General features: G+C 39.8%; 1 protein-coding gene and 1 pseudogene across 11 annotated transcripts in view, besides 1 other annotated feature; one reads left to right on the top strand and one right to left on the bottom strand.

The window, feature by feature from the left end:
- Window positions 1-26,260, bottom strand: part of AKAP6 (A-kinase anchoring protein 6) — a 508,387-nt gene that overhangs the window by 343,426 nt on the left and 138,701 nt on the right. The gene's annotated exons all lie outside the window — the stretch shown is intronic.
- On the top strand, window positions 9,137-10,166 carry MTCO1P2 (MT-CO1 pseudogene 2; annotated as a pseudogene).
- Window positions 9,182-9,476: a silencer, noted in NCBI's record as "tiled region #11725; HepG2 Repressive DNase matched - State 23:Low". NCBI's record gives its function as "represses a minimal TATA promoter and a strong SV40 promoter by Sharpr-MPRA in HepG2 cells {active_cell/tissue: HepG2}" and the evidence as "EXISTENCE:reporter gene assay evidence [ECO:0000049][PMID:27701403]".

Below are 26,260 nucleotides of genomic sequence, written 5' to 3'. Positions count from 1 at the left end.
CAGAACTCCAGGACAGAGTCTGGATTTCCAGGAAGGGGTGGGCATAGCTAGATATAGGGAAGAATTTCCTGGGTTGGAGATTTGCTGAGAACTACTTGTAGAAAGAATGACTCAAATCTCATTATGAGAGAAGTTGAAATAAAAGGGTAAATTAATCTGTCGTGAATGGATAGCCATGGTCTCCCAAAAGAGAGAACACCAAAGTGGATAAAGTCTGAAAGTCCCTTCTCTTTCCTTGGCTACCACTCTCTCAAACTTCCTGACAGTCAGTTCAATGGCCACCTCCTCTAGAAGCCTCGTGACTCTCCTTGCCTGGCTTAATGACCCCTCCTCAGTGCTCCCAGGCTTTGCCTCTGCCTGACATCTTAATGTTCTCTTTACCTCCCTCACTCCCCAACTAAGAAAACCATAGTTGGCAGTCGCTATGTCAGGGTCATCTCTGCAGAGCTGGTTTAGAACAGCACTGGGCCCTTAACAAATGTCAGTGAATGTTTGCTAAATGAATGAATTCTGGAATATTATAGAATCAATGGAGCACACATAGCTTGCTTCTGGGTTCAGCAAGCTACCCCCAACCAACTCCCAGTCTCCTGAGATATTGTTAGTTCAGAGTGACCAGCAGCCCTGAGGTGACATAATGGATGTCATGTAGGCTTCATTATAAAATACATTATAAAACTCAATGAATATTTGATGAAAGAACAAACAAATGATCCAATCGCATATCAAATCTTTTTAGTGTGCCTTAGGCCGGGTGCGGTAGCTCACACCTGTAATCCAAGCACTTTGGGAGGCTGAAGCAGGAGGATCACTTGAGCCCTGGAGTACAAAACCACCCTAAGCAATATAGTGAAACCCCATCTCTACAAAAGAATTAAAATAAAAAATTAGCCAGGTGTAGTGGTACAAGCCTGTTCCCAGCTACTTGGGAGGCTGAGGTGGGAGGACTGCCCAAGCCCTGGAAGTCAAGGCTGCAGTGCACCGTGATCGCACCAGTATACTCCAGCCTGGGTGACAGAGAGAGACCCTGTCTCAAAAAACAAACAAACAAACAAACAAAGAGTGTGCCTTAGAGCCCATTCTCAGCCTCAGTCTTAAGCCAGGTTTGCTCCAGTCACTTCTGACGATAAATTAGAATCTACCTTCCTCAGGCCAAAAGCCTTTCAAACATAGTTCCTTCTCTGACAAACAGTTACCCTTTTTCTCCAGCACCCCAGTTCCGACTTTCCACAGGCTGAGGTTCTTCCATTTGTGATAATAATACAGAAAGGCAAGACACATCCCATAGTCAAAGCAAATTCACAATGTAGATTAATCACAGATTATAATGGTGGCATTTCATTTTTATGGTTTTCATAAACACCAGTTTGACATAAACTGGTGGCACTTTAACCTTTAAATTATTTGAATATCCTTTAAGAATAAGAAAAAGGCATATTTTCTAATAGGAGTGGCAAAAGTATTTGGACCACTGGAATATCTCTTAGGAGTTATTTTTTTCATCACTAGATTTTATCTATATTAGATAGCACAGCCCATGGAGAATTTTTTTTAAGAGAGAGAAAGATAATCCCAGTTCTGTGGTCAGTTATATCCTGGCAGGGAAAAAAAAGGAACATGTACTTCACAGGGATCTATTTTTAATTCTCATTTAAATAGCTGTCAGCTCTTGCCAGCACAAAAGAAGAAAGATGACAAAATGAAGACAAGATTTTCTGACTAGAACCAAGTATTAACATCAGTCTGGAAAGCTATGCTTATTTGAAACATATTCCTAAGAGAACTTAAGAAAAATACAAACATAATTTTCCATAAATCTGCCACACACTGAAAGTTATGTGAGGTATATATATATATATGCATGTATCCAAATGCCTCTCTCTCTCTCTCTCTCTCTCTCTCTATATATATATATATATATTACAATGTAGTTTGAGAAGCACAGTGATATCTACAGAGTGTGTCAAGAGAACAGGAAAAAGAGGAGGGACACCTAACCCAGAAAAAGAGAGAGAAGGCAATTAGAGGAGGTGAGGCAAAGCTGAGTTCTAAAGGCCAAGTAAGAGAGAGCCAGACATGGGCAATGGGAGAAAGCATGCAAGGAGGAAGGGGCATCACATGAGATGTAGAAGGATAGTATGAGGTATTTTTGTTGAGGGGGCTGAGAATAACAGAGAAGAGCTTAGTTTGCAAGGGTGGGAATGAGCAGAGAGTCAAGAGATGTAACTGGATAATAAGATAACCCTCACACTTCAGGCTAGTACAGAGGAAGGGATTTCTAGGATCACAGGTTGCATGTATCTTAATCTTGAGGGACTTCTACAGGCCTTTTAATGGTGGAGAACGTCAATTAAAATGATTTAGTTAAATCGGGATTTAGTTTCCCACTTGAGTCATGAATCACTGCAGATAAAATCAATTGTTGCTACATAAAAATTACATAGTTGATGTCTGAGATTATTCTACATAAAATTTGTACAACCTAATATGGATGTTGGTATAAACATAAGATTAATTTTTAAAAGCAAACAATATATTTTAAGGCAATGATTCAGAATCACAAAGTCACTGGAGTTGGAAATATTCTGGTTCAATTTCCTCTTCTTGTAAAGGAGGAAATCAAGGTCCAGAGAGGTTGTCATGTGCTCCAGTCATATGCTGGAAAGGGGTAGTCCCTGAACAAGGACAGAAGTTTCTGAGTATCCCACATCACACATTGCCTGCCTTCAGTATCTGCCACAGGGAGGACAGCCACATAACATATGTAATTTCATTCTATGGGTTATAGAGAGCCACTTTTGGATTTTAAGCACAGTACCAAAAGTTTGAGCGAGATTTGTATTTAGAGAGATCTTTCCTTGTTTTGATAGAGGAATGACAGTAGAGGTCTTTTCAATAACTCAGACAAATTATAACAGTTAGACCTAAGCAAAGGCAGTGGAGATGGAAAGGAGTGAACAAATTATATAAACATTGGGAGATAAAATAGACGTAATTTGGTAACCAGTTGGACATTGTGGGAGAAGATGCATAGAAGTTAGGATAAATAACTCTTCATTTCTTGGCATGGGTAATTGATTAAACCAGGAGGAAGCATCTGGTGGGATACATATGAAGCAATTAGGGAGAAGGGAGATTCTGCCCAGCTTTTGAGATGATCAGAATTAATCTGAGATTGGTGGGGTGACAGATGCCACAGCCAGATCACCTCAGCAACCCTTAGGATATTAAATGTCTTTTCTGGTATTTGAGGTAGCTTGTGCTACCTTTGTTCCTCCCAGAGGCATCGACATAAAATTATCATCACTATTCACTGATAATACTATTTGCACTTTGACTGAATCTTAAATTGCCAATTTATATTATTTCTTGATATTTCCTTCTGATTATAGCAGACTAGCCTATGTAGACCAACTACCTCACTGAGAACAACCAAACAAGCTAGACAAATAAGAATCAGTTCTGAAGATATAGTATAAATATTCTCATAGAGAATGCAAATTTACAGAAGTAAGACATTTGGCACCATTTTCCCCCTCAAGGTCTTTGCAGATGTATAAGCCGAATCTAGAGCTTAAGAAGCTAAACTGAACTTCTAGCCATTTTCAGTGCTGCAGGGACAAAAACTGGAGCTCAGAACCCACTAAGGAGGAGAGGCCCTGGTAAAAATTTAGGCTTTCAGAAGGACCTCTAAAGGACCACTTCAGAGGAGTAAAGGTAAAGGTAAACTAGAAGTAGACCAGTCCTCGTAAGATGAATTTGGCTATAAACTATGAATATAACATAAAAGTTATATATCCACGTTGGATTGATTCATTCCAGGAAAGTAAGGTCTGTTTCATGTTTGAAAGAAATTTTTAAAAATTATATGGTGATCTGAATATATTAATTTTTAAAAAGTGTTTTATAAAAAGGCAACATTCACGGACAAACCTCATAAACATGTTGAGCAAAAGACAGCAATGTCAGGCCTCTGAGCCCGAGCTAAGCCATCATATCCTCTGTGACCTGCACATATACATCCAGATGGCCTGAAGCAACTGAAGATCCACAAAAGAAGTGAAAATAGCCTTAACTGATGACATTCCACCATTGTGATTTGTTCTGCCCTATCCTAACTGATCAATGTACTTTGTTACCTCCCTCACCCTTAAGAAGGTTCTTTGTAATCTCCCCCACCCTTAAGAAGGTTCTCTGTAACTCTCCCCACCCTTGAGAATGTACTTTGTGAGATCCACCCCCTGTCCGAAAAACATTGCTCCTAACTCCACTGCCTATCCCAAAACCTATAAGAACTAATGATAATCCCACCACCCTTTTGCTGACTCTCTTTTCAGACTTAGCCCGCCTGCACCCAGGTGAAATAAACAGCCATGTTGCTCACACAAAGCCTGTTTGGTGGTCTCTTCACACGGACACGTGAGACACAAAAGAATATATGTGGCATGACTATATTTATTTGAAGCACCAGATCAGGCAAACTATATTATTTAGAGATGCCTACATGGGCATTAAGACTGTAAAGCAAGGAAATGATGATCACTAAGTCAAAAAGTATATTACTTAGGAAGGGCCACAGGGTATTCCACGTACTCTTCTCTGATCAAGAGTTTCTATTTTCCTTTCTCTGGCAAAGTTCTATTTTTGTTTTTTAATCTAGGTAATTACAGGTCAGGTGCTTTCTGTAAAGTTTTTTTAATTAAAAACATTGCATATACACATATGTAGCAATTTAAAAACAAGAGAAAGGGGCTGGGCATGGTGGTGCATGCCTGTAATCCCAGCACTTTGAGAGACTGATTGGAAGAATTGCTTGAGGCCAGGAGTTCGAGACCAGCCTAGGCAACATAGAGAGACATCATCTCTATAAAAAATTTTAAAAATTAGCTAGACGTGGTGGCATCTGCCTGGAGTCCTAGCTACTTGGGAGGCTGAGGCAGGAAGATCGCTTGAGCCCAGGAGTTTGAGACTGTAGTGAGCTATGATCACACTACTGTACACAGCCTGGGCGACAGAGTGAGATTGCAGCTCTAAAAATTAATCAGTCAATCAATCATGAAAAAGGGAATACATATTGTTGGGAATAAAGGAAGACCTGAATAGTAAAATATACTATGTTCTAAATATAGAGACTCAACACTATGGAAATGTCAAGTCTACCTAAATTCATCTCTAAATGTAACATCATCCTAATGAAAACACCAAAAATATTTTATTTGATACTAGACAAGCTGATTACAAAATTTTAATGGAAAAATAAGCTATAAAGACATAAAACCAGGGGATTACCGGGAAAGATGGCCGAATAGGAACAGCTCCAGTCTGTAGTGCCCAGCAAGACCAACGCAGAAGGCGGGTGATTTCTGCATTTCCAACTGAGATACCTACCTCATTTCGTTGGGACTGGTTAGACAGTGGGTGTAGCCCACCAAGGGGAGCAGAAGCAGGGTGGGGTGTCGCCTCACCTGGGAAGCACAAGGGGTCAGGAAACTCCCTCCCCTAGGGCCACGAGTGAAGGACCGTGCTATCTGGTCCAGATACTATGCTTTTCCCACTGTCTTTGCAACCTGCAGACCAGGAGATTCCCTCCAGTGCCTACACCACCCGGGCCCTGAGTTTCAAGCAGAAAACTGGGCGGCCATTTGAGCAGATACCTAGCTAGCTGCAGGAGTTTCTTTTCATATCCCAGTGGTGCCTGGAACCCCAGTGAGACAGAACTGTTCGGTCCCCTGGAAAGGGGGCTGAAGCCAGGGAGCCAAGTGATCTTGCTCAGCAAATCCCACACCCATGGAGCCCAGCAAACTAAGATCCACTGGCTTGAAATTCTCTCTGCCAGCACAGCAGTCTGAAATCCACCTGGACAATGCTCCAGCTTGGTGGGGGTAGGGGCGTCCACCATTACTGAGGCTTGAGTAGGCAGTTTTCCCCTCACAGTGTAAACAAAGCCACCAGGAAGTTTGGACTGGGTGGAGGCCACCACAGCTCTCAAAAGCTGCTGTGGCCAGACTGCCTCTCTAGATTCCTCCTCTCCGGGCAGGGCATCTCTAAAAGAAAGGCAGCAGCCCCAGTCAGGGGCTTATAGATAAAACCCCCACCTCCCTGGGACAGAGCACCTGGGGGAAGGGGTAGCTGTGGGCGCAGCTTTAGCAGACTTAAATTTGCCTGCCTGCCAGCTATGAAGAGACCAGCGGATCTCCCAACACAGCACTCAAGCTCTGATAAGGGACAGACTGCCTCCTCAAGTGGGTCCCTGACCCCAAGGAGATACCTCCCAGCAGGGGTCGAGAGACACCTCATACAGGAGAGCTCCAGCTGGCATCTGGTGGGTGCCCCTCTGGGACGAAGCTTCCAGAGGAAGGAGCAGGCAGCAATCTTTGCTGTTCCTCAGCCTCCGCTGGTGATAGGCAAACAGGGTCTCGAGTGGACCTCCAGCAAACTCCAGCAGACCTGCAGAAGAGGGGCCTGACTATTAGAAGGAAAACTAACAAACAGAAAGCAATAGCATCAACATCAACTAAAAGGATGACCACACAGAAACCCCATCCGAAGTTCACTAACATCAAAGACCAAAGGTAGATAAATCCATGAAGATGAGGAAAAACCAGTGCAAAAAGGCTGAAAATTCCAAAAACCAGAATGTCTCTCTCCTCCAAAGGATCACAACTCCTCGCCAGCAAGGGCAAAAAACTGGACAGAGAATGAGATTGACAAATTGACAGAAGTAGGCTTCAGAAGGTGGGTAATGACAAACTCCTCTGAGCTAAAGGAGCAGGTTCTAACCCAATGCAAGAAAGCTAAGAACTTTGATAAAAGCTTACAGGAACTGCTAACTAGAATAACCAATTTAGAGAAAAACATAAATGACCTGATGGAGCTGAAACTATTCCAAACAATAGAAAAAGAGGGACTCCTCCATACCTCATTTTATGAGGCCAGCATCATCCTGATACCAAAACCTGGCACAGACAACAACAAAAAAAGAAAATTTCAGGCCAATATCTTTGATGAACATTGATGTGAAAATCTTCAATAAAATACTGACAAATCAAATCCAGCAGTACATTAAAACACTTATCCACCATGATCAAGTCAGCTTTATCACTGGGATGCAAAGCTGGTTCAACATACACAAATCAATAAATGTCATCCATCACATAAACAGAACCAATGACAAAAACCACATGATTATCTCAACAGAGGCAGAAAAGGCCTGGGATAAAATTCAACACCACTTCATGCTAAAAACACTCAATAAACTAGGTATTGATGGAGCATTTCTCACAATAATAAGAACTATTTATGATGAACCCACAGCCAATATCATACCGAATGGGCAAAAGCTGGAAGCATTCCCTTTGAAAACCAGCACAAGACGAGGATGCCCTCTCTCATCACTCCTATTCAACATAGCGTTGGAAGTTCTGGCCAGGGCAATCAGGCAAGAGAAAGAAATAAAGAGTATTCACATAGGAAGAGAGGAAGTCAAATTATCTCTGTTTACAGATGACATGTTTGTATATTTAGAAAACCCCATCATCTCAGCCCAAAACCTCCTTAAGCTGATAAGTAACTTCAGCAAAGTCTCAGGATACAAAATCAATGTGCAAAAATTACAAGCATTCCTATACAACAACAACAGACAAACAGAGAGTCAAATCATGAGTGAACTCCCATTCACAATTGCTACAAAGAGAATAAAATACCTAGAAATAAAACTTACAAGGGATGTGAAGGATCTCTTCAAGGAGAACTACAAACCACTGCTCAAGGAAATAAGATACAACACAAACAAATGGAAAAACATTCCATGCTCTTGGATAGGAAAAATCAATGTTGTGAAAATAGCCATAATGCCCAAATTAATTTAAAGATTCAATGCTATTCCCATCAAGCTACCATCGTCTTTCTTTGCAGAATTAGAAAAAACTACTTTAAATTTAATATGGAACCAAAAAAGAGCCCATATAGCCAAGACAATCCTAAGCAAAAAGAACAAAGCTGGAGGCATCATACTACCTGACTTCAAACTATACTACAAGCATACGGTAACCAAAACAGCATGGTACTGGTACAAAAACAGATATATAGACCAATGGAACAGAGCAGAGGCCTCAGAAATAACACCACATCTACGACCATCTGACCCTTGACAAACCTGACACAAACAAGCAATGGAAAAAGGATTCCCTATTTAATAAACAGTGTTGGGAAAACTGGCTAGCCATATGCAGAAAACTGAAACTAGACCCCTTCCTTACACCTTATACAAAAATTAACTCAAGATGGATTGAAGATTTAAACGTAAGGCCTAAAACCATAAAAACTCTAGAAGAAGAAAACCTAGGCAATACCATTCAGGACATAGGCATGGGCAAAGACTTCATGACTAAAACACCAAAAGCTATTGCAACAAAAGCCAAAATTGACAAATGGGATCTAATCAAACTAAAGAGCTTCTGCACAGCCAAAGGAATTATCATCAGAGTGAACAGGCAACCTACAGAATGGGAGAAAAATTTTGCAATCTATCCATCTGACAAAGGGCTAATATCCAGAATCTACAAGGAACTTAAACAAATTTACAAGAAAAAAAACAAACAACCCCATTAAAAGGTGGGCGAAGGGTATGAACAGACACTTCTCAAAAGAAGACATTTATGCAGCCAACACACGTATGAAAAAAAGCTCATCATCACTGGTCATTAGAGAAATGCAAATCAAAACCACAATGAGATACCATCTCACACCAGTTAGAATGGCAATCATTAAAAAGTCAGGAAACAACAGATGCTGGTGAGGCTATGGAGAAATAGGAATGCTTTTACACTGTTGGTGGGAGTGTAAATTATTTCAACCATTGTGGAAGACAGTGTGGCGATTCCTCAAGGATCTAGAACCAGAAATACTATTTGACCCAGCAGTCCCATTACTGGGTGTATACTCAAACGATTATAAATCATTCTACTATAAAGACACATGCATACATATGTTTATTGCAGCACTATTCACAATAGCAAAGACTTGGAACCAACTCAAATGCCCATCAATGATAGACTGGATAAAGAATATGTGGCACATATACATCATGGAATATTATGCAGCCATAAAAAAGAATGAGTCCCTTGCTAAGGACTCATTTGCAGCTAAGGACTGCAAAACCCCACTCTGCATCAACTGAACGCAAATCAGCCACTTTAATTAAGCTAAGCCCTTACTAGATCAATTGGACTTAAACCCATAAACACTTAGTTAACAGCTAAACACCCTAATCAACGCTTCAATCTACTTCTCCCGCCGCAGGAAAAAAAGGCGGGAGAAGCCCCGCCAGGTTTGAAGCTGCTTCTTCGAATTTGCAATTCAATATGAAAATCACCTCAGAGCTGGTAAAAAGAGGCTTAGCCCCTGTCTTTAGATTTACAGTCCAATGCTTCACTCAGCCATTTTACCTTATCCCACTGATGTTCGCCGACCGTTGATTGTTCTCTACAAACCACAAAGACATTGGAACACTGTACCTACTATTCGGCGCATGAGCTGGAGTCCTGGGCACAGCTCTAAGTCTCCTTATTTGGGCTGAGCTAGGCCAACCAGGCAACCTTCTAGGTAACGACCACATCTACAATGTCATCGTCACAGCCCATGCATTTGTAATAATCTTCTTCATAGTGATACCTATCATAATCGGAGGCTTTGGCAACTGACTAGTTCCCCTAAAAATCGGTGCCCCCGATATGGCATTCCCCCGCATAAACAACATAAGCTTCTGACTCCTACCCCCTTCTCTCCTACTTCTGCTTGCATCTGCCATAGTGGAAGCCGGCGCCGGAACAGGTTGGACAGTCTACCCTCCCTTAGCAGGGAACTACTCCCACCCTGGAGCTTCCGTAGATCTAACCATCTTCTCCTTGCATCTAGCAGGCATCTCCTCTATCCTAGGAGCCATTAACTTCATTACAACAATCATTAATATAAAACCCCCTGCCATAACCCAATACCAAACACCCCTTTTCGTCTGATCCGTCCTAATCACAGCAGTCTTACTTCTCCTATCCCTCCCAGTCCTAGCTGCTGGCATCACCATGCTGTTAACAGACCATAACCTCAACACCACCTTCTTCGACCCAGCCAGGGGAGGGGACCCTATTCTATACCAACACCTATCCCTTGCAGGGACATGGATAATGCTGGAAACCATCATTCTCAGCAAACTAACACAGGAACAGAAAACCAAACACCACATGTTCTCACTTATAAGTGGGAGTTGAACAATGAGAACATATGGACACAGGGAGGGGAACATACACACCAGGGTCTGTCAGGGGATGGGGGGCAAGGTGAGGGACAGCATTAGGAGAAATACCTAATGTAGACGACAGGTTGATGGGTGCAGCCACCACCATAGCCCATGTATACTATGTAACAAACCTGCACGTTCTGCATATGTATCCCAGAACTTAAAGTACAATAAATAAATCTGGGGGGCACAGTGGCTCACACCTGTAATCCCAGAACTTTGGGAGGCTGAGGCATGCAGATCACCTGAGGTTGGGAGTTCAAGACCAGCCTGACCAACATGGAGAAACCCCGTCTCCACTAAAAATACAAAATTAGCTGGGAGTGGTGGCATATGCCTGTAATCCCAGCTACTCAGGAGGCTGAGGCAGGAGAATTGCTTGAACCGGGGAGGCGGAGGTTGCAGTGAGCCGAGATCATGCCATTGTGCTCCAGCCTGGGCAAAAAGAGCGAAACTCCATCTCATAAAAAATAAATAAATAATTTTTTTAAAAAAGACACAAAACCTATAAGAGAAAAAAAATCAAACTTCACTATAAAACTGTTTTACATTCCTACTTGAAATAGAAAATGCTATAAACAAAGTTAAAAGATAAACAGCAAACCAAGAAAAGTATTTGCAAATATGCACACTATTTTCTACAAATCAAAAAGACTGGACAAAGTTCACAAAACCTTCATAAAGAAAAAGTATTATAATAAAGATTATACAAAAGAGAATACAACTGCCTTTTAAATATATGAAAATATTTTCAACCTCACTTTCAATAACAGAATTAAAAATTAAATCACACTGAAATACCATGTTTTACCTATCAGATTAGCAACATTAAAATATTGGTGAGGATGTGCTGAAAGACACATGCTGATATCTTGCTGGGAAGAATGTAAATTAGTGTAAGATTACAGAAAACAATTTGGTTATATCTAACAAAATTACCAATGCAAGATACATATATATATATATATATATATACACACACACACACACAGACACACACACACACCCTTTGACCCAGCAAAATACAATTCTAGAATTTCTCACAGATATAGTCACATTACAGAAGAAATCACAAAGTTATTCACCACATTACTGGAAATAACATAAAACCTCCATTAATAGAGGACTAATTAAATTGTGTTTTTACATACGGTAGAAAACTATGCAGTTGTTTACAGCTCATAGTATTCTTATTTGGGACGTTTTCTGAGTTGTATTGTTATATTAAAAGTCTGTAATACATTTATGTAGAAGATATATTTCCATTAAAAAACAAGATAACTCATTCACTCATAAATATTACTTGAACATATTTTCTGTGCCAAGCACTTTTCCAGGCCCTTGGAATACAGCAGAGAACAAAACAGGAAAAGACAGTAAGTAAATAAAATATAGTATGTATCCAACAGTGTTGATTGCTCTAAAGGAAAAGAAAAGCAGAACAGTAGTGAGGATGCTGCTTTATATAGAGTGGTCAGGAAATAATCTCTGACAAGTGACATTTGAATTGAGACCTAAAGGAAATGAAGGTTGAGACAGGAGGGTATCTGGGGGAAGTATATCCCAGGAAGTCAGAAGAGCAAGTGCAAAAGCTCAAAAGTATGACTAGTCTTAATATATTTAGAGAATGGCTAAACAAAACTGAACAAAAGGGAGAGTATAGGAGATGTAGCCAGAAATGTTGGCAGTGGGAAGAGAGGGGCAGTTCACACAGAGCCATTGCAAGAACTTCAGGCTTTTATTCTCAGATAGGACACCACCAGATAATGTCACAGGTTGTCTTCCTGAGAAGGAGATTCAAATATGGAGATTAGCGTGCAGGAAGTTTATTAAGGAGTTATCTTGGGATGACCCCCTAAGCAAGGGGAAGGAAGGAAGTAGGGCTGAGGAAAGTTGTGCTATAATACAGTCTCAACTAATGGGCCAGTCCACCCACATAAGGAACTTTGAAACCAAGAAGGCCCTTCAATTTGTTCCAAGATGGAACAAAGGAGCCAGAATTGTATAGCTCCCATAACAATGAGTCCTTAAGTATGGGATGAAAACTGAGATCACAGTGAGAAAAGAGGAAGTGGAAACAGTAATTGGAGATAATTTTTCAAGGATTACTGCTCTAAAAGGAGCAAAGAAATTGGGTGGTAGCTGGAAAGGAATACACAAGTCAAAGAAAGTTCCTCCTCTTTCAGGCTGGGAGATGTTACAGCTTGCTTGTTTACAGAAGGAAATTTATATGGTTTTGCTGTGTCCCCACCGAAATCTCATGTTGAATTGTAGCTCCCATAATCCCCACATGTCATGGGAGGGACCCGGTGGGAGGTAATTGAATCATGGGGGCAGTTTTTCCCCTGTTGTTCCCGTGATAATGAATAAGTCTCATAAGATCTGACGGTTTTATAAAAGGGCAATTCCCCTGCACATGTTTTCCTGCCTGCCACCAAGTAAGGTGTGCCTTTGCTTCTCCTTTGCCTTCTGTCATGAATGTGAGGCCTCCCCAGCCATGTAGAACCGTGAGTCCATTAAACCTCTTTTTCTTTATAAATTACCCAGTCCCGGGTATGTCTTTATTAGCAGCATAAGACCAAACTAATACAGGAATACAGGAATGATGCCATTTGTATTTGCTCTGGAAGGATGTATATGAAATTGATAGCAATGATTGCCTCTGGATCATTGGATCTGCGAACTGTGAGGCAGGAGAATAGGGGTAGGGAGAAGTGTCCTTTCAGTGTTTACCATCTTGGAATTTTATTTCTTTGCATGGATTATCTAATCACGGGTTATAGATCAATCAATACTGAACAGATAAAGTAGATCTTTATATATGGATGCAGAAATAGATCCTAAAATATACAAAGTAAGAGAGTTGGCTACATAATAGTAATAAATGTTTTAAAAATTATATAAATATGAAATATGGACTAAAAGTCTAGAAGAATACAGACCAAGTTGTCAATAGGAGTTATCTCTACAGAACATGAAAAGAGAATTCTCACTTATCTGTTGCTTGATGTTTTTTGTAACAATCTTATACATCAGAAAGAAATATGTATTTCATATTTTTAAAGTGTCTTTACCATATATTAATCTGTAAATATGAATTGTGTGTTGAAGCAACAAGAAAACCAACTAGACATTTTCCTGGACCAGTAGGATCTTCAGGCTTGAGTGGGCAGAAATGAAGGCCCAAGGAGAATAAGAAGAATCAGACCTGGGCATAAAAGTATATTGAAGTCTGGCTCCTGAGAGTTTGTCTTGCATCACTTTACATACCAAACCTCACCTACCATAGTGAGACCTAAATTCAAATAAATGATAAATGAAAACAGATTTTTAAAAAACTTTGGGTTCTAAAAATATTCTGGCTCCATTCTGGTTTATACTAAATCACCAAACTGCTTCCTTCCCTCAGAATAGTTGCATGAGTCATTTTACACAAATATCTACAAATTACAGTAAGAAATTCAACATCAGAGCACATAACTGACCATGAATGGACACCTTCATCATGACTACGGCACAACTTTTTAAGAAGAAAGTCCTTTGGATCCTGCATACTGTACTATTGTTTCAATCATTAGACTTGAGGGCTTAACCCAGATCTTTCATTAATGCAAGATCCCACATTAGAGAATTTACTATTCAGGTCAATTGTGAATTTTTTTCCTCTTCAATTGTGACCCCAGCATTTTTAGTTGGGGCTATGATTTTTTTTCACCCAACTCTAAAGAACTGTTCAACTGCTTCTTCTAAATATCTGATATAGGAGTTAGTATTTTTCTCTCAGTCAAGCAGCTCTCTATCATTTGTTTGAATTAGGAAATAGAAGTTTAGCAAAATACCTCAAAGACAGACTAGTAAGAGACACAAACCCCAACTCCAAGGTCCAATTCCCTTACATTTGCAGAGATACTGTTTTCTCCTCTCACAACTCAAGGCACCCAGGAAATCCTAAATCAGCCCCACAGGGCCTACACCATCACACACCAGTATGAGGAAGGTAAAGATTTGTAATCTGCCTTAGCCCATCTGGACAACTATAATAAAATACCATAAACTGGGTAGATTATAAACAATACAAATGTATTTGTCACAGTTCTGGAGGCTGGGAAGTCCCAGATCAAGGTGCCAGTAGATTCAGTGTGTGGCAAGGGTCCTCTTTCTGATTCACAGATAGTGTCTTCTTGTGTCCTCATGTGACAGAAAGGCAAGGGGTCTCTCTCAGGCCTTATAAGGGCTCCACCCTCATGATGTGACTACCTCCCAAAGGCCCCACCTTCTAATATATCTCCTTGGAGGTTAGGATTTCAACATATAAATTTGTAGGGGGACACAAACATTCATACCATAGCAAAACCCCTTAGTAATTAATTTAGTAGAGATTTTCTGAGCATAAAAGTTGTGAGAAAAATAAATATATAGGCCCATCTATATGACACACAAAAAACTATTCAGGAAATAATATTAAGTTAAAGAAACAATGTATAAAATTGTTATAGAATCTGAGTCCAATTTTTTATTACATGTAAATAATTAGAAAAAGTAAATATATCAAAAATGGTAATAGTGGATATCTCTAGTGGTCCACTGATTATTTTTTATTTTCTTCTCATTTTTATAAGAATATGTATTAATCACACAATCAAGAAAACAGTAGAAGTAATTTTTAAAAGCAATTGTATACAACACTGAAAATCAATCAAAGTGAGGAGTCGATGTTTACTTGGTGTAAGTCATATGTGGTCCACTGATTATTTTTATTTTCTCCTCATTTTTATAAGAATATGTATCAGTCATGTAATCAAGGAAAACAATAGAAGTAATTTTTAAAAGCAATTGTATATAATACTGAAAATATCAAAGTGAGTCGATGTCTACTTGGTATAAGTCACATGTTCCTAAGTCTAAACCCTGAGTCAATGGAATTCCTTTTCAGAAAGCATTCTCCCTATATTCCTAGGAGTCCTTTAACATGTCAAATTCTCATCTCCTCTCCCCCCAAAATATTTTCTTCAGCTCCCTCTAATTTAAGACTATCTCTTTCTTTGTGGATACTAATTTTATTCTGAGTCAAAGGGGGGACACAGTAGAAATCAGGAATTCTTGGCCATTATACCAAGGGATCCTGTTTATGCTTCTCTTCCATTTCCTATCTCACACTAACCATTTTCTCTTCCTCCATCTGCACAGCCAGTCTCTATCCATCCCCATTTCCTGCCTAAAAGAGTGATAATCATCTTTCTTTATATTTAGTCATCACAATGTAGTTTATGTGTTCTAGGAGCTCTCTATAAAATCAACCTGAATGTTCACCTTCTTTCCCCTGACGAGCCTTGAGCAGACCTATATTTCAGGCTAAATCTAGTTTTCTCCTTGCTGATTATCTCTTTCTGGCATCGAATTAAATTTTTGTTTTTTTTATGGTAGAGGTCTCCTCTGATGTGTCTTTTACCACATTTGGTTTTCCCTCGGAAGACATTTAGCCCATCTTTGATCCTTGTCACCCACAGGCTGTTAGTGTTACTGCTGCTGCTTCACATCTTGACTCCAGTTGGAGCTTGGAATTCTCCTTTTCACTATTCACTTAATCATTCAGTCATCTGTTTAGCAGATGGACCCGCATTTCCCTGACATCTATTCCATAGTTTCACAGATCTGGGCATGATGTCTTCCTGACACATCTGATGGCAATCACACAGGGACTTGGCTTGTGGGCACACGTACGTGTGTGTGTGTGTGACTTCTTGGCAACAACATTCACTAATGTTGGCTCTTAATCACTGAATAAGAGCACCCAAAACTCCATACAAGGCAAATGCTCAGCACATGCCTTTGCTCTGAATCTTCAAGTTTGCTTTTGGCATTTAGGGCTGATGCCCACTATGTCTGTCAAGCTATGTGAAAGATTCACTAGGGAGGCTCAACCCCAGCCATGCAATGCCTGTTGACAGGAGAATCTAAGACTCTCTCATCATTCTAGCTATATTTATAAAGTGCTCACTATGGCCAGGCATCATTTTAAGCAATTTCACAAATACTATCTAACTTAAGGCTCATTGCACCTCCATGAGGTAGATGCTATTATCATGACCATCATTTTACAGAAGAAGAAAATGAGGCACAGTGAGCTGCTTTATGTAACCCTGTAAGAAATGGAGCTGGAATCTGAACCCAGACAGTTGGGCCCCAAGAATCAACTCTCTTAACCTCCATTCTAAATTGCCTCTCAGCTGTAGCAAGATTGCTATAAAGAAAAATGCTTCATTACTGAAAAGATCTGGCTAAATATGATTTTTGGAACCAAAGTAATAAATATGCCAGAAGGCATTTTTGCAAGTCGGTGATACAACACCGTCTTGAAATTGCAGCACTAAATTCATTTGTTAGGACAGACATTCACATACATATAACAGCCAAGTTGCCTAAGAGTTGAGCTCCAACCTGCCAGCCTCAGCCACTGCTTGGGAGAACTGCGAACCCCAATCTCAGCTTTCCTCTTCAGTTGCTTCTATGTATAAGATGGACCCAGGACCCCTCTTAAGGGCCTGCTATCCTCTCTCCCACACCCCTTCAACACCGCCAGGCATGGAAATAAAGGAAGATCTGGAGCTCCTTCAATGGAAATTCCAGGCACCTAGCTAGCCCTGAGAAGTAAATGAGCAACTTGGTAAGCAAGAAGGTAGCAGTAGCTTAAAACAATAGCCAAGGAAGTTAGGGTCATGAGATGTTCCCTGTAGAAATTAAAGATAACATCTTAATGTGAGTTGTTTTTCAGAAACCCAGACCCCTTCCAAATGGATCCACTGGCATGTAGACCTCAGATAAAAGGGAACTGAGGACTGAACTCTGACTGCTGTTCTTTGTTCTAAATTTCTTCCTGAGGAGCCTGGAAGAGGTCATACCCATGAGCCAGAGCTAACTTTCTTTTCTGCTGATCACAAATTTTTAGATAAAGCTTCATCTCCTTAACCAATTGCAAATCAGGAAACCTTTGAATCTATCTATGACTTGTAAGACCCCGCTTTAAGATATCCCACCTCTTTAGGCCAAACCAATGTATAACCTCTGTGTATTGATTGATGACTTTGCCTATAACCTCTGCCTCCTCACCTTTAAAAGGCCTTACTTGTAAGCCACTGTGGAGGCTGGGTCTTAAGTGTGAGCTGCTGATTCTCCTTGCTTGGCATCCTGCTATAAATGCTTCACTTTCTCTTGCAGCAATCCCTATGTCAGTATTTGGCTTTGCTACACCAGGCAAGGGGATCCCAGTTTAGTTTGGTAACACTTACGGAAAATCCCTCCCTATTATTTTAGCACTGTGATTCAGAAAGATCTTCAACTTGCGGCCCGGTGTCTGAAGGTTTTAATCTTTATCTGACACAAGTCAAATATGACTAGATAAAATTCGATGGGAAACAGGGCTAAAATCCAGTAGGAGACTTGCATTCTATACAAAAATCTTATTGCAATATATCTTTGAGGATAATGCACACAAGGAAAGTTCAACTTAAACCTCTTCCAGATCCTACTTCGCTGTTTACTTATGTCCAAGTAGGGTCTGAGATGACTTTGGGGGCTTCCAAATAAGGAGGCACTATGCATTTCTCCCCAAGCCTCTCAACTCAGTAAGGAAGTGCTTCTATATAGATCCATCCTCCTTGCCTAGCCTTCTATGGATAAAGATTTTTAAAACTAATCATTATAAAAACTTTAAGAGCATGAGGTCAGAATTTTTGTCACTTGTGTTTACTGCTATGCCAAGAATAGTTTGACATATGGTAGGCATTAAATATTTGTTGAATTGATAAATATAAGGTCCTAGAAAATATATCACAAAAATATGTTTAAGAACAATATATTGTTTATTTCTGCATATAAACATGAAAATTTAAAGGTACCAAATAGATAATAATTATAATATTATACAAGTACTGCTAGTTAAAAATGTACTTAAAACATTTTTATGAGTAGTTAAAAGAGCTGAAGGCCAGGCGCAGTGGCTCACGCCTGTAATCCCAGCACTTTGGGAGGCCGAGGCGGGCGGATCATGAGGTCAGGAGATCGAGACCATCCTGGCTAACATGGTGAAACCCCTTCTCTACTAAAAAAAAAATACAAAAAAATTAGCCGGGCGTGGTGGCGGGCGCCTGTAGTCCCAGCTACTTGGGAGGCTGTGGCAGGAGAATGGCATGAACCCAGGAGACGGAGCTTGCAGTGAGCAGAGATAAGCCACTGCACTCCAGCCTGGGTGACACAGCGAGACTCCGTCTCAAAAAAAAAAAAAAAAAAGAGCTGAAAATGATTTCTGTCTGCAGACTCTGCTCATCAGATTAAGATGTAAGGATGCAGGTGAGCAGGTTGGTTGCATGCCAGTGCTGCAAAGAGAAGCTGGTTTTGCTCGATCTTCCACATTGACAGAATTCATAGCATGCCTTTTTGGAAGCTTTGCTCTGCATAGAATTGTCAATATGCACCTGCCATCAGTCCTTCAAGACATCTTGCCCAAAATATCACCTTTAAAATAAGAACCCACAACAAAAACTAACATTCACTAAAAAGGATTAATGGAGGGGATGCCTGAATCAGCTGTAGCCAATGTGAAGGTAGAATGGTGTTGTAAATAAGAGAGCAGAAGGCTTTAGAGATGCCCTGAACATCAGCCTTAGCATTATTATTATAATAACAACTGTGGGTCTTTGGAAGAGAAGCTTAACCTCTGTGCCTCAGTTTCCTGTGTTGTGTGTCAGGACTAGGACCCACATCACAGGATAAGGACAAAACATGATAGTGCATGCAAAGTATCTGACATATAGTAAGCGCTGAACAAAGGTTCACTGTGATTATTATACATCCATAAACCATTGAAAGTAAATTATAGACGAGTACTACACTGAGATGTACATTCCTTTGTATAAGGAATGTTCATCAGGCTGTAGCTCTACGTATGTATTTCCAGAGAGAACATTTAAAGAAATATACTTCCTGTGTCTCAAAAGTACAAAACTGAGAACAAATGTGCTACAGCTGTGGAAGTGAACATATGTACACCTCTCCCAAATGAATGGTAGGTTAGAATTTTCATCCGTTTTGCCAAGAAATTCATATAATTCCTATTCTCCAAAGCAAATAGCAAATAAACAAATTTATAGAAATTTAACAGAGAAATCTGGAATCAGAACAAATTTTGGAAAATGAGTGAAGTGCAAATATCAAACAATTTCTAAAATAAATGCAGGACCAAATGAACTGGAAACATATTCCATGAAGGAAACTTAAATCCTCATCCCCCTTGGGGAAAAGTGCTAGTTTCCTGCAAGATTCAATCCCTATTTCTTTAATGTGTGTGAACTATAAGCCAGCCCCACCTGGAATTTAGTTTGATTACAAATAAGTTTGTCAGATTGTTTACCTTGAAATCTTTCTTCTCTCCTAAAGAATTCTAAGAATGGTACTCGCAGTCACTCAGCTTTTTCATCAGAGAACTTGCTTGTATACAGATGTTGAACCATGTGAGACTACCATTCAATTGCCTTTGACCCACAAAAACAGCAATTTCATATGGTTCACTTATTCTACGTTGGATGGAAGTGGTCTAGGAAGATTTGAGGGGTTAAGGAAGTGGCTCCATAAAGAGAAGATATTTATTCCTTGTTAATGAATTTCACCTCCTCCAAGTTGTTGTGTCACAAAACGAAACACGTGTTGAGGAAGTAGAATCGCTTCATGTGGAAAGAATTAAATTCTCTTAGCATTGATGAAAAAAGACAGTGGGCTGGGCACCGTGGCTCACACCTGTAATCCCAGCACTTTGGGAGGCCGAGGCGGGTGGATCACCTGAGATCAGGAGTTTGAGACCAGCCTGGCCAACATAGTGAAACCCCGTTTCTACCAAAAATACAAAAATTAGCCAGGCACGGTGGTGCATGCCTGTAATCCCAGCTACTTGAGAGGCTGAGGCAGGAGAATCGCTTGAACCCAGGAGGTGGAGGCTGCAGTGAGCTGAGATCGTGCCACCGCACTCCAGCCTGGGTGACAGAGATCCTGTCCCAAAAAAAGAAAAAGAAAAAGAAAAAAAGACAGTGATGCTCACATTGAGAACAGCAGCAGATCCATGACCCAGCTGTATGAGGTGTCAAGGAAGTGTAACTATTAACCAAACGAAGAAAACAGTGGTGTCCTGCCCAATGTGCTGGGATGAAAGCCACATATGTGGTGGATGAACAAGTTATTCTGAGAAACAAGACCAGGCAGTTACCTACCATCTAAAGCACTAGAATGTCAGTCCCCCCGCACCTCCCGGTAATCCACACCCCTTCAAATGAACCTTGTCCTGGCAGGTTTACTAGAGTTGCAAAATGCTTGGATCTGCAGGAATGCAAGCAGCAAGCACCTCACCCCACTAATTTGGCATTTCAAGCTCTTCTTCCTTTCTCTCTTTCTGCTTTGGAATTTTCATTAGAGTATGACATTTGACTCATTCTGAGAGCAAACATTATATTTTCTGGCTTTTCTAATTTGAAAAACAGATGGTCTCCTCACTGGCCCTAGGGAAAAAAGAAAAACTTGTTTTAACAATTTCATCTGGCTTCTACTTCTCATTTTCTAGTTTTCAAACATGTAATTCTATTATTACCTGTTGTATGTGAGGCTGTGGGCAGCCTCTGAAGTAGTAGGCTTCCTGCACAGCACTATGTCTGAGGGCCACACCTCATTCTCTCCCATCTTCACTGCAGTCCCCATCCCCATTGCCCACAAAAAGCAAAGTAAAAAATAACTCTAAATTATCATCTATGTTATAAGTATTGCTTCAAAACTTGTGATAAGAAAGCTGTAGGTCAGTCTTAGAGAAAATACAAAAACACAGAAACTGTTTTTCACATTATAGCTCCAACATTCCACAGGGATTTATATTTAGGCAAATATGTGTGTTTGGGTGAGCTTCTGGGCTCAACTTTAATCATTCTGAGAGAGAAAGAATCCAACCAGTTTAAACTAGATTTTCACTCTTTGTAACCCATGTGGCATTCCAAACATTTCTAAGCATTAGGATTACATCATTTTCTCTTTTTTTTTCCTTTAATACAAACAGCCATTATATTCTATTTTCACGACCTTTAAGTTCCCAATATCAAATTACCCAGCTGTTGTTTCAATCTCTCTTAGTTGCTAAGAGATGGTGATGGTGGCAGACCAGACCGATTTTCTTCAACATAGAATTGCAAGCTGACATAAGAGGGAACTAAATTCAGCCAGAGCACAATGAGCCCAACAGTTGGCAGCCAGGCTGTGTGTCTTTTCCCAGCTGCAGGAGACAGTTGGTGCAGAGAACCTCGTTGCCATCTCCCTGCCAACATCACTGCCATGTTTTCATGCATTCTCCACAATGCCTCTCAGCAAAGAGGGGCATTGCCATTTGCATTACAGGGATCAGTCTGCTGTAATATCGCCTCTCCTAGAATTAAGTTCTGTGGCTAAAGACCATGATCTTTTCTGGGTCAAGCCATTCTTTAGTAATAATAGAGAAAACACTTCTATTGAATGCGGTGGACAGCATTTATACTTGCCCTCCTCCTACCCCACCTTATGATCAAGACACTTATTTACCCCACCTGCTAAGCAGTGTTGACTGCTTATTGCTCTCAGCTGAGACCCTCCCTGGGACTTGCCCTCAGCTGCCTCACCCAAGGTCATGCCCTTCCCTGGGAGCTTTCCACATCCCATGTCTGCTAAATGGGAGGAGGTATAAAGCCTGGGGGAAAAGGGGAGCCACTTTAGAGTTCTGGGTAGGAATACTGCCATCTCTGTCACAGCTGCAGTTCAACTCCTCTCTCTGGTTGATTTACTTCCCTCACCTCTCAGAGGTGCTTTTCCCAAGAACTCACCCCAATAAACCTCCAGCATGTAGATCTCAGAGCCTCAGAATCCGATTCCTGGGAACCCAAACTATGACAAAAAGTAAATTCTCAAACCTCTCTTTTATCTTAAGGAACAATCCACTAGGTTTCTGTGTGCTGAAGTCTGAAAGAAATCTCATAGGGACTATTTTTCTTGGTTTACTCACAATTGTGCCAGCACAAAAATCCTGACCCAGAATGCTTAACACGCTGCGTTATCTGTGCTTCCTTAGCACAGATAACACAGTGTCCAGTGTCTTATTAGCCAAACTCCAGTCTAGAAGCAATGTCAACAGAATTACTGTTAAAATGGAGGTGAGACAGATAATAAAAACAGTTTATACCATGGATGGAGGTACATGTCTCAATGAACAATAACTGTGCAATGAAGATATTAGCTATAGCCCTGGTGGGGGGTACAGGATTCCACCTACCCAAATTGGGTGAGAGAATGTTGAAAGGGTTTACAATGAAAATTGAGTAAATGTATAATACACTTAGGAGAAAAGACAATGGCCTATGAAACTAAGTCTCAGCTCTCGCCATGGACTTGGATTCCCCCACTGACAAGAAAGACTTAAACTATTAAAAGGTTCAGCCTGCTAATTCACAGTTTAGGAAGTAGCACTATGATCTTGCTTTTGGTCCACAATTTCTTATTACTACCACCGTCCATAAACGCATTACAGAACTGGTCATGGATCAGATGACTTCTACTATCTTTAGCTGTGTGACTATGAAACACTAGGAAAATGTAGAAATACAGAGATAATGACATAAGCCTAACCCATGGTACTTAGTGCTAACTTTGGCAGTACATTTTATGATTATGGAGACAATCTTGGTGTTTATTATTTAAAATTATTGAAACGTTTTTAAAGAATCCAAAATACAAAACTGCCTTGAAGTTTTAATTTGAAATGTTGAATGGATATCGGCCATGATTTTAATAAAGGTAAGAATTTGATTAATTTTGTAATATGAAAGAACCTAGTTTATCATAGTTATAAATTTGGTTTATTACATTTTCAAAACTGGCCTAAGTTCACTGAAAGATTTGGCCTAGTTAGGTTTCTAAGTCTATCCTCATGTATCTAAAGTATTTGAGATTATTAGATGGATTAAAGGTCTTAGGAAAATTAACTAAATTTGTGAATGACATTCATTTGTTAAACTTATGAACTAATTCAACATTAACCAAAAATCAAATGGCTGTTACTGCTCTTGTAGTAAACTAACTAGATTTTTAAATAGAAGAAAGAGATGGGTAAAAGAAAATTTAGACTTAAGAAAAATCAAGCTTTAAATTTTCCAATTTATTCATAATTCTAGCTCTAAGTATTGCTTTCTACTTCAATTGTCAGGAATTATTTAAGCCTACCTCTATTGTCTGTTCAAACTACGATTCTATCATACCGAACTTAAATATTTTGTTGGCATTTGCATGCCCTAAAATTTCAGAGCTGGCAGTTTTCCTCTCAGCTGCTTTAAATGGCTCCCTGATTACTTTCCCCAGAGATGAAGCTGACAGATCCAGTGGGAAAGGACTGTGCCTTCTTTGTTCAGTTGCTGATGTGAGCCCTAACGACAGCAGTGATACAATTTACATTCAATAAGCCATGAGTCAGAGAATATCATCTAACTTTTTATGAGAATAAGATACTGTAAATTCAAACTTGTAATGAAAGACCTTACTCTTGGTTTGACTGCTGTTCAGTCTTCTGGCAGGGATGGGTAGGGTGGGATACAAGAAATGCCTGAAACATTGCTTCTCAAATCTTAATGTGCATCTGAATCACCTGGGGATCTTGTTAAAATGCAGGGAGACAAGAATCCTGCATTTCTAACAGTTCCCAGGTGTGGCCCAAGCGTCCAGTCCACAGACCACACTTTGAGTAGTAAAGCTCTAAATATCAAATAGCCTAGTTGATGTTTTGTGGGTTTTTTAGTGATGAAGATTCTGTTGAGGGTGGAGGAAAGGGAGTGATGGTATGTAAGTGCTAACCCTGGATCTAATATGACATCATTTTATATTAGTAATTATATTCAGAAGACTTGATGTTTTACCACTTAATATTTGTTCATTGGAAGAGCAACTGAACTTAAAGCAAATCAGTAATTTCCCAACATCTACAGCCTATTTTATTAGAAAATAAAAAGATAAACATCTGATTTGAAAAGCGATAAAATATGTCATATATGCATGTCAAGCATCAGTTCTGATCTTTAGGTAACTGAAGGCATAATCTTTCATTTTGGAAACAGACATAATGCAATCTCTGTATCATAACTTTAGAAACATCTCCGAGCAGCATGTCTGGCTGACGAGCCAAGACAAGTATAATAATAAAAAAAAAAAATTTGTGACATTAAAAATATCAGATCTCAAAAAAAAAAAGACATTCTTTTAACTAGCGAGGCAAAGAAAAATGGGAAAGCTATAAAAGCTTGTTTCTTTATCAACAGTAGGTGGTGCTACAATACAAGTAAACAGTAAATGTACAGCAAGTACTTTTCTTGTCAGCATTCAAATAATGATTTAGTTATTATTACACTTTCTTACAGATCAAGATCAAAACTGTCTTGACTTTATTATACAGATTATTGGACATGTTTTCAAAAGTTTTCTACTACCAAGAAACGCTAGGAATCTACTGGTAGTTTAATATGTCAAATAATCTAACTTTTTTTAAATGTATAAACTTTTGTGTGCCTATCTTGTTTTTAATTCTTCTTAAATTACTTGGGGGAATGCTAGTGATCATAGTTTGTTATACACTGGCATACCAAGGAGGTTGTGAAAATCTCCTCCGTTGGAGACTGTTGAAAAGCAACACAAAACCCTCTATTGCTTTCACAGGACTTCTTCAAAGCAAGTTGATGAACTTTACCAGGCAATGCCTAGAAATTATTTCCTGGCACAAAGTCTAGTGGCAGGACAGGAAAACACTTCCCCAGAGTTGCAACAGTTCTCACAGTACACCCCATGAGTCAGGGAGGTATGACAAAACAGACGAGGGATCAGCAAATTTTCTAGTGGAATGCCTAGTTAATACCTCTTCCAATAGCATTCATTACTGTAGAGTTTAGGACAGTTTTTCACACATTCCACTAGGCAGAGATTAATTTGGACTAAACCTACCTATTATTCATATATTATTAATAATCACTTAAAACAGATGCTCTAAAATCAGTATCCTAGAAATAATAATTTTGATGAAGGTGGAATAAGATTGTTAGAGCAAAGGGGGGCAAGTCCAATTAGAACGCAGGACATTTGAGGAATGGCAAGTCTTTGGAAGTGGTTGTGTTTCTGTCAGGGCTTTGATGAGACGAAAACAACATAAGGATATGGAGTACCTGGGAGAAAGAATGGAGGGACAAAGATGGGAGGAGGGAGGACAATAAAACATAACAAAAACAAAAATCCTGATTTGCGCTTTTGTCTTAAGTCATGGTAGCACAGATGTGTAAATTGCCAGGCTCTTTGTAACACTTGATCTATGCAAGAAAGGTAACATCCTGCAACATCCTGTGATTACAGGATGTCTAAAGACAGAGATCTAAACTTGAATCAACAAAGTCCCTGCCCTCAAGAAGCTCCCAATCTAGTGTTTCTCTGCTATACTTACAGAGGTGGGCTAACCTTTACTACATGAAAGAGCAAGGCATTGTCTCACAGGACTTTGGTCTATTCACTTCACAGATATAGAAAGCAAGTCATCCAGGGATGAAAACTAAGTCCCACAACTCAAAAGGCACAGAGTAGGAAATATTTTTGGCAAGAACTAGCTCTTCTGAATATGTCATTTAATTTTCTCTTCATTAATGTCATCAGTAAATATTAACAGAGTACCTACTGTGTTCAAGGTGCCAGTGTTTCTCTTAATCATTTTCAGTAGAAAAATCACAAGTTTTTCTAGATTCTGAATGCTGCTGTCTGGGCTCCTATCCTAGGGCTGCCTTGTGACAGCTCCCTTTGCTGGTTTAGTTTATCAGACTCTTTGAAAGGGAGATGACAATTAGGGTGAAAATGAGAGAGAAGCAACAATATCTATAACACATACAAGAACAG

The sequence above is a fragment of the Homo sapiens genome, chromosome 14 (genome assembly GCF_000001405.40).
Source record: "Homo sapiens chromosome 14, GRCh38.p14 Primary Assembly".
Classification (NCBI taxonomy): Eukaryota; Metazoa; Chordata; class Mammalia; order Primates; family Hominidae; genus Homo; species Homo sapiens.
The sequence above is the reverse complement of the archived record's forward strand: the minus strand, read 5'-3'. Positions and strand labels throughout refer to the sequence as shown.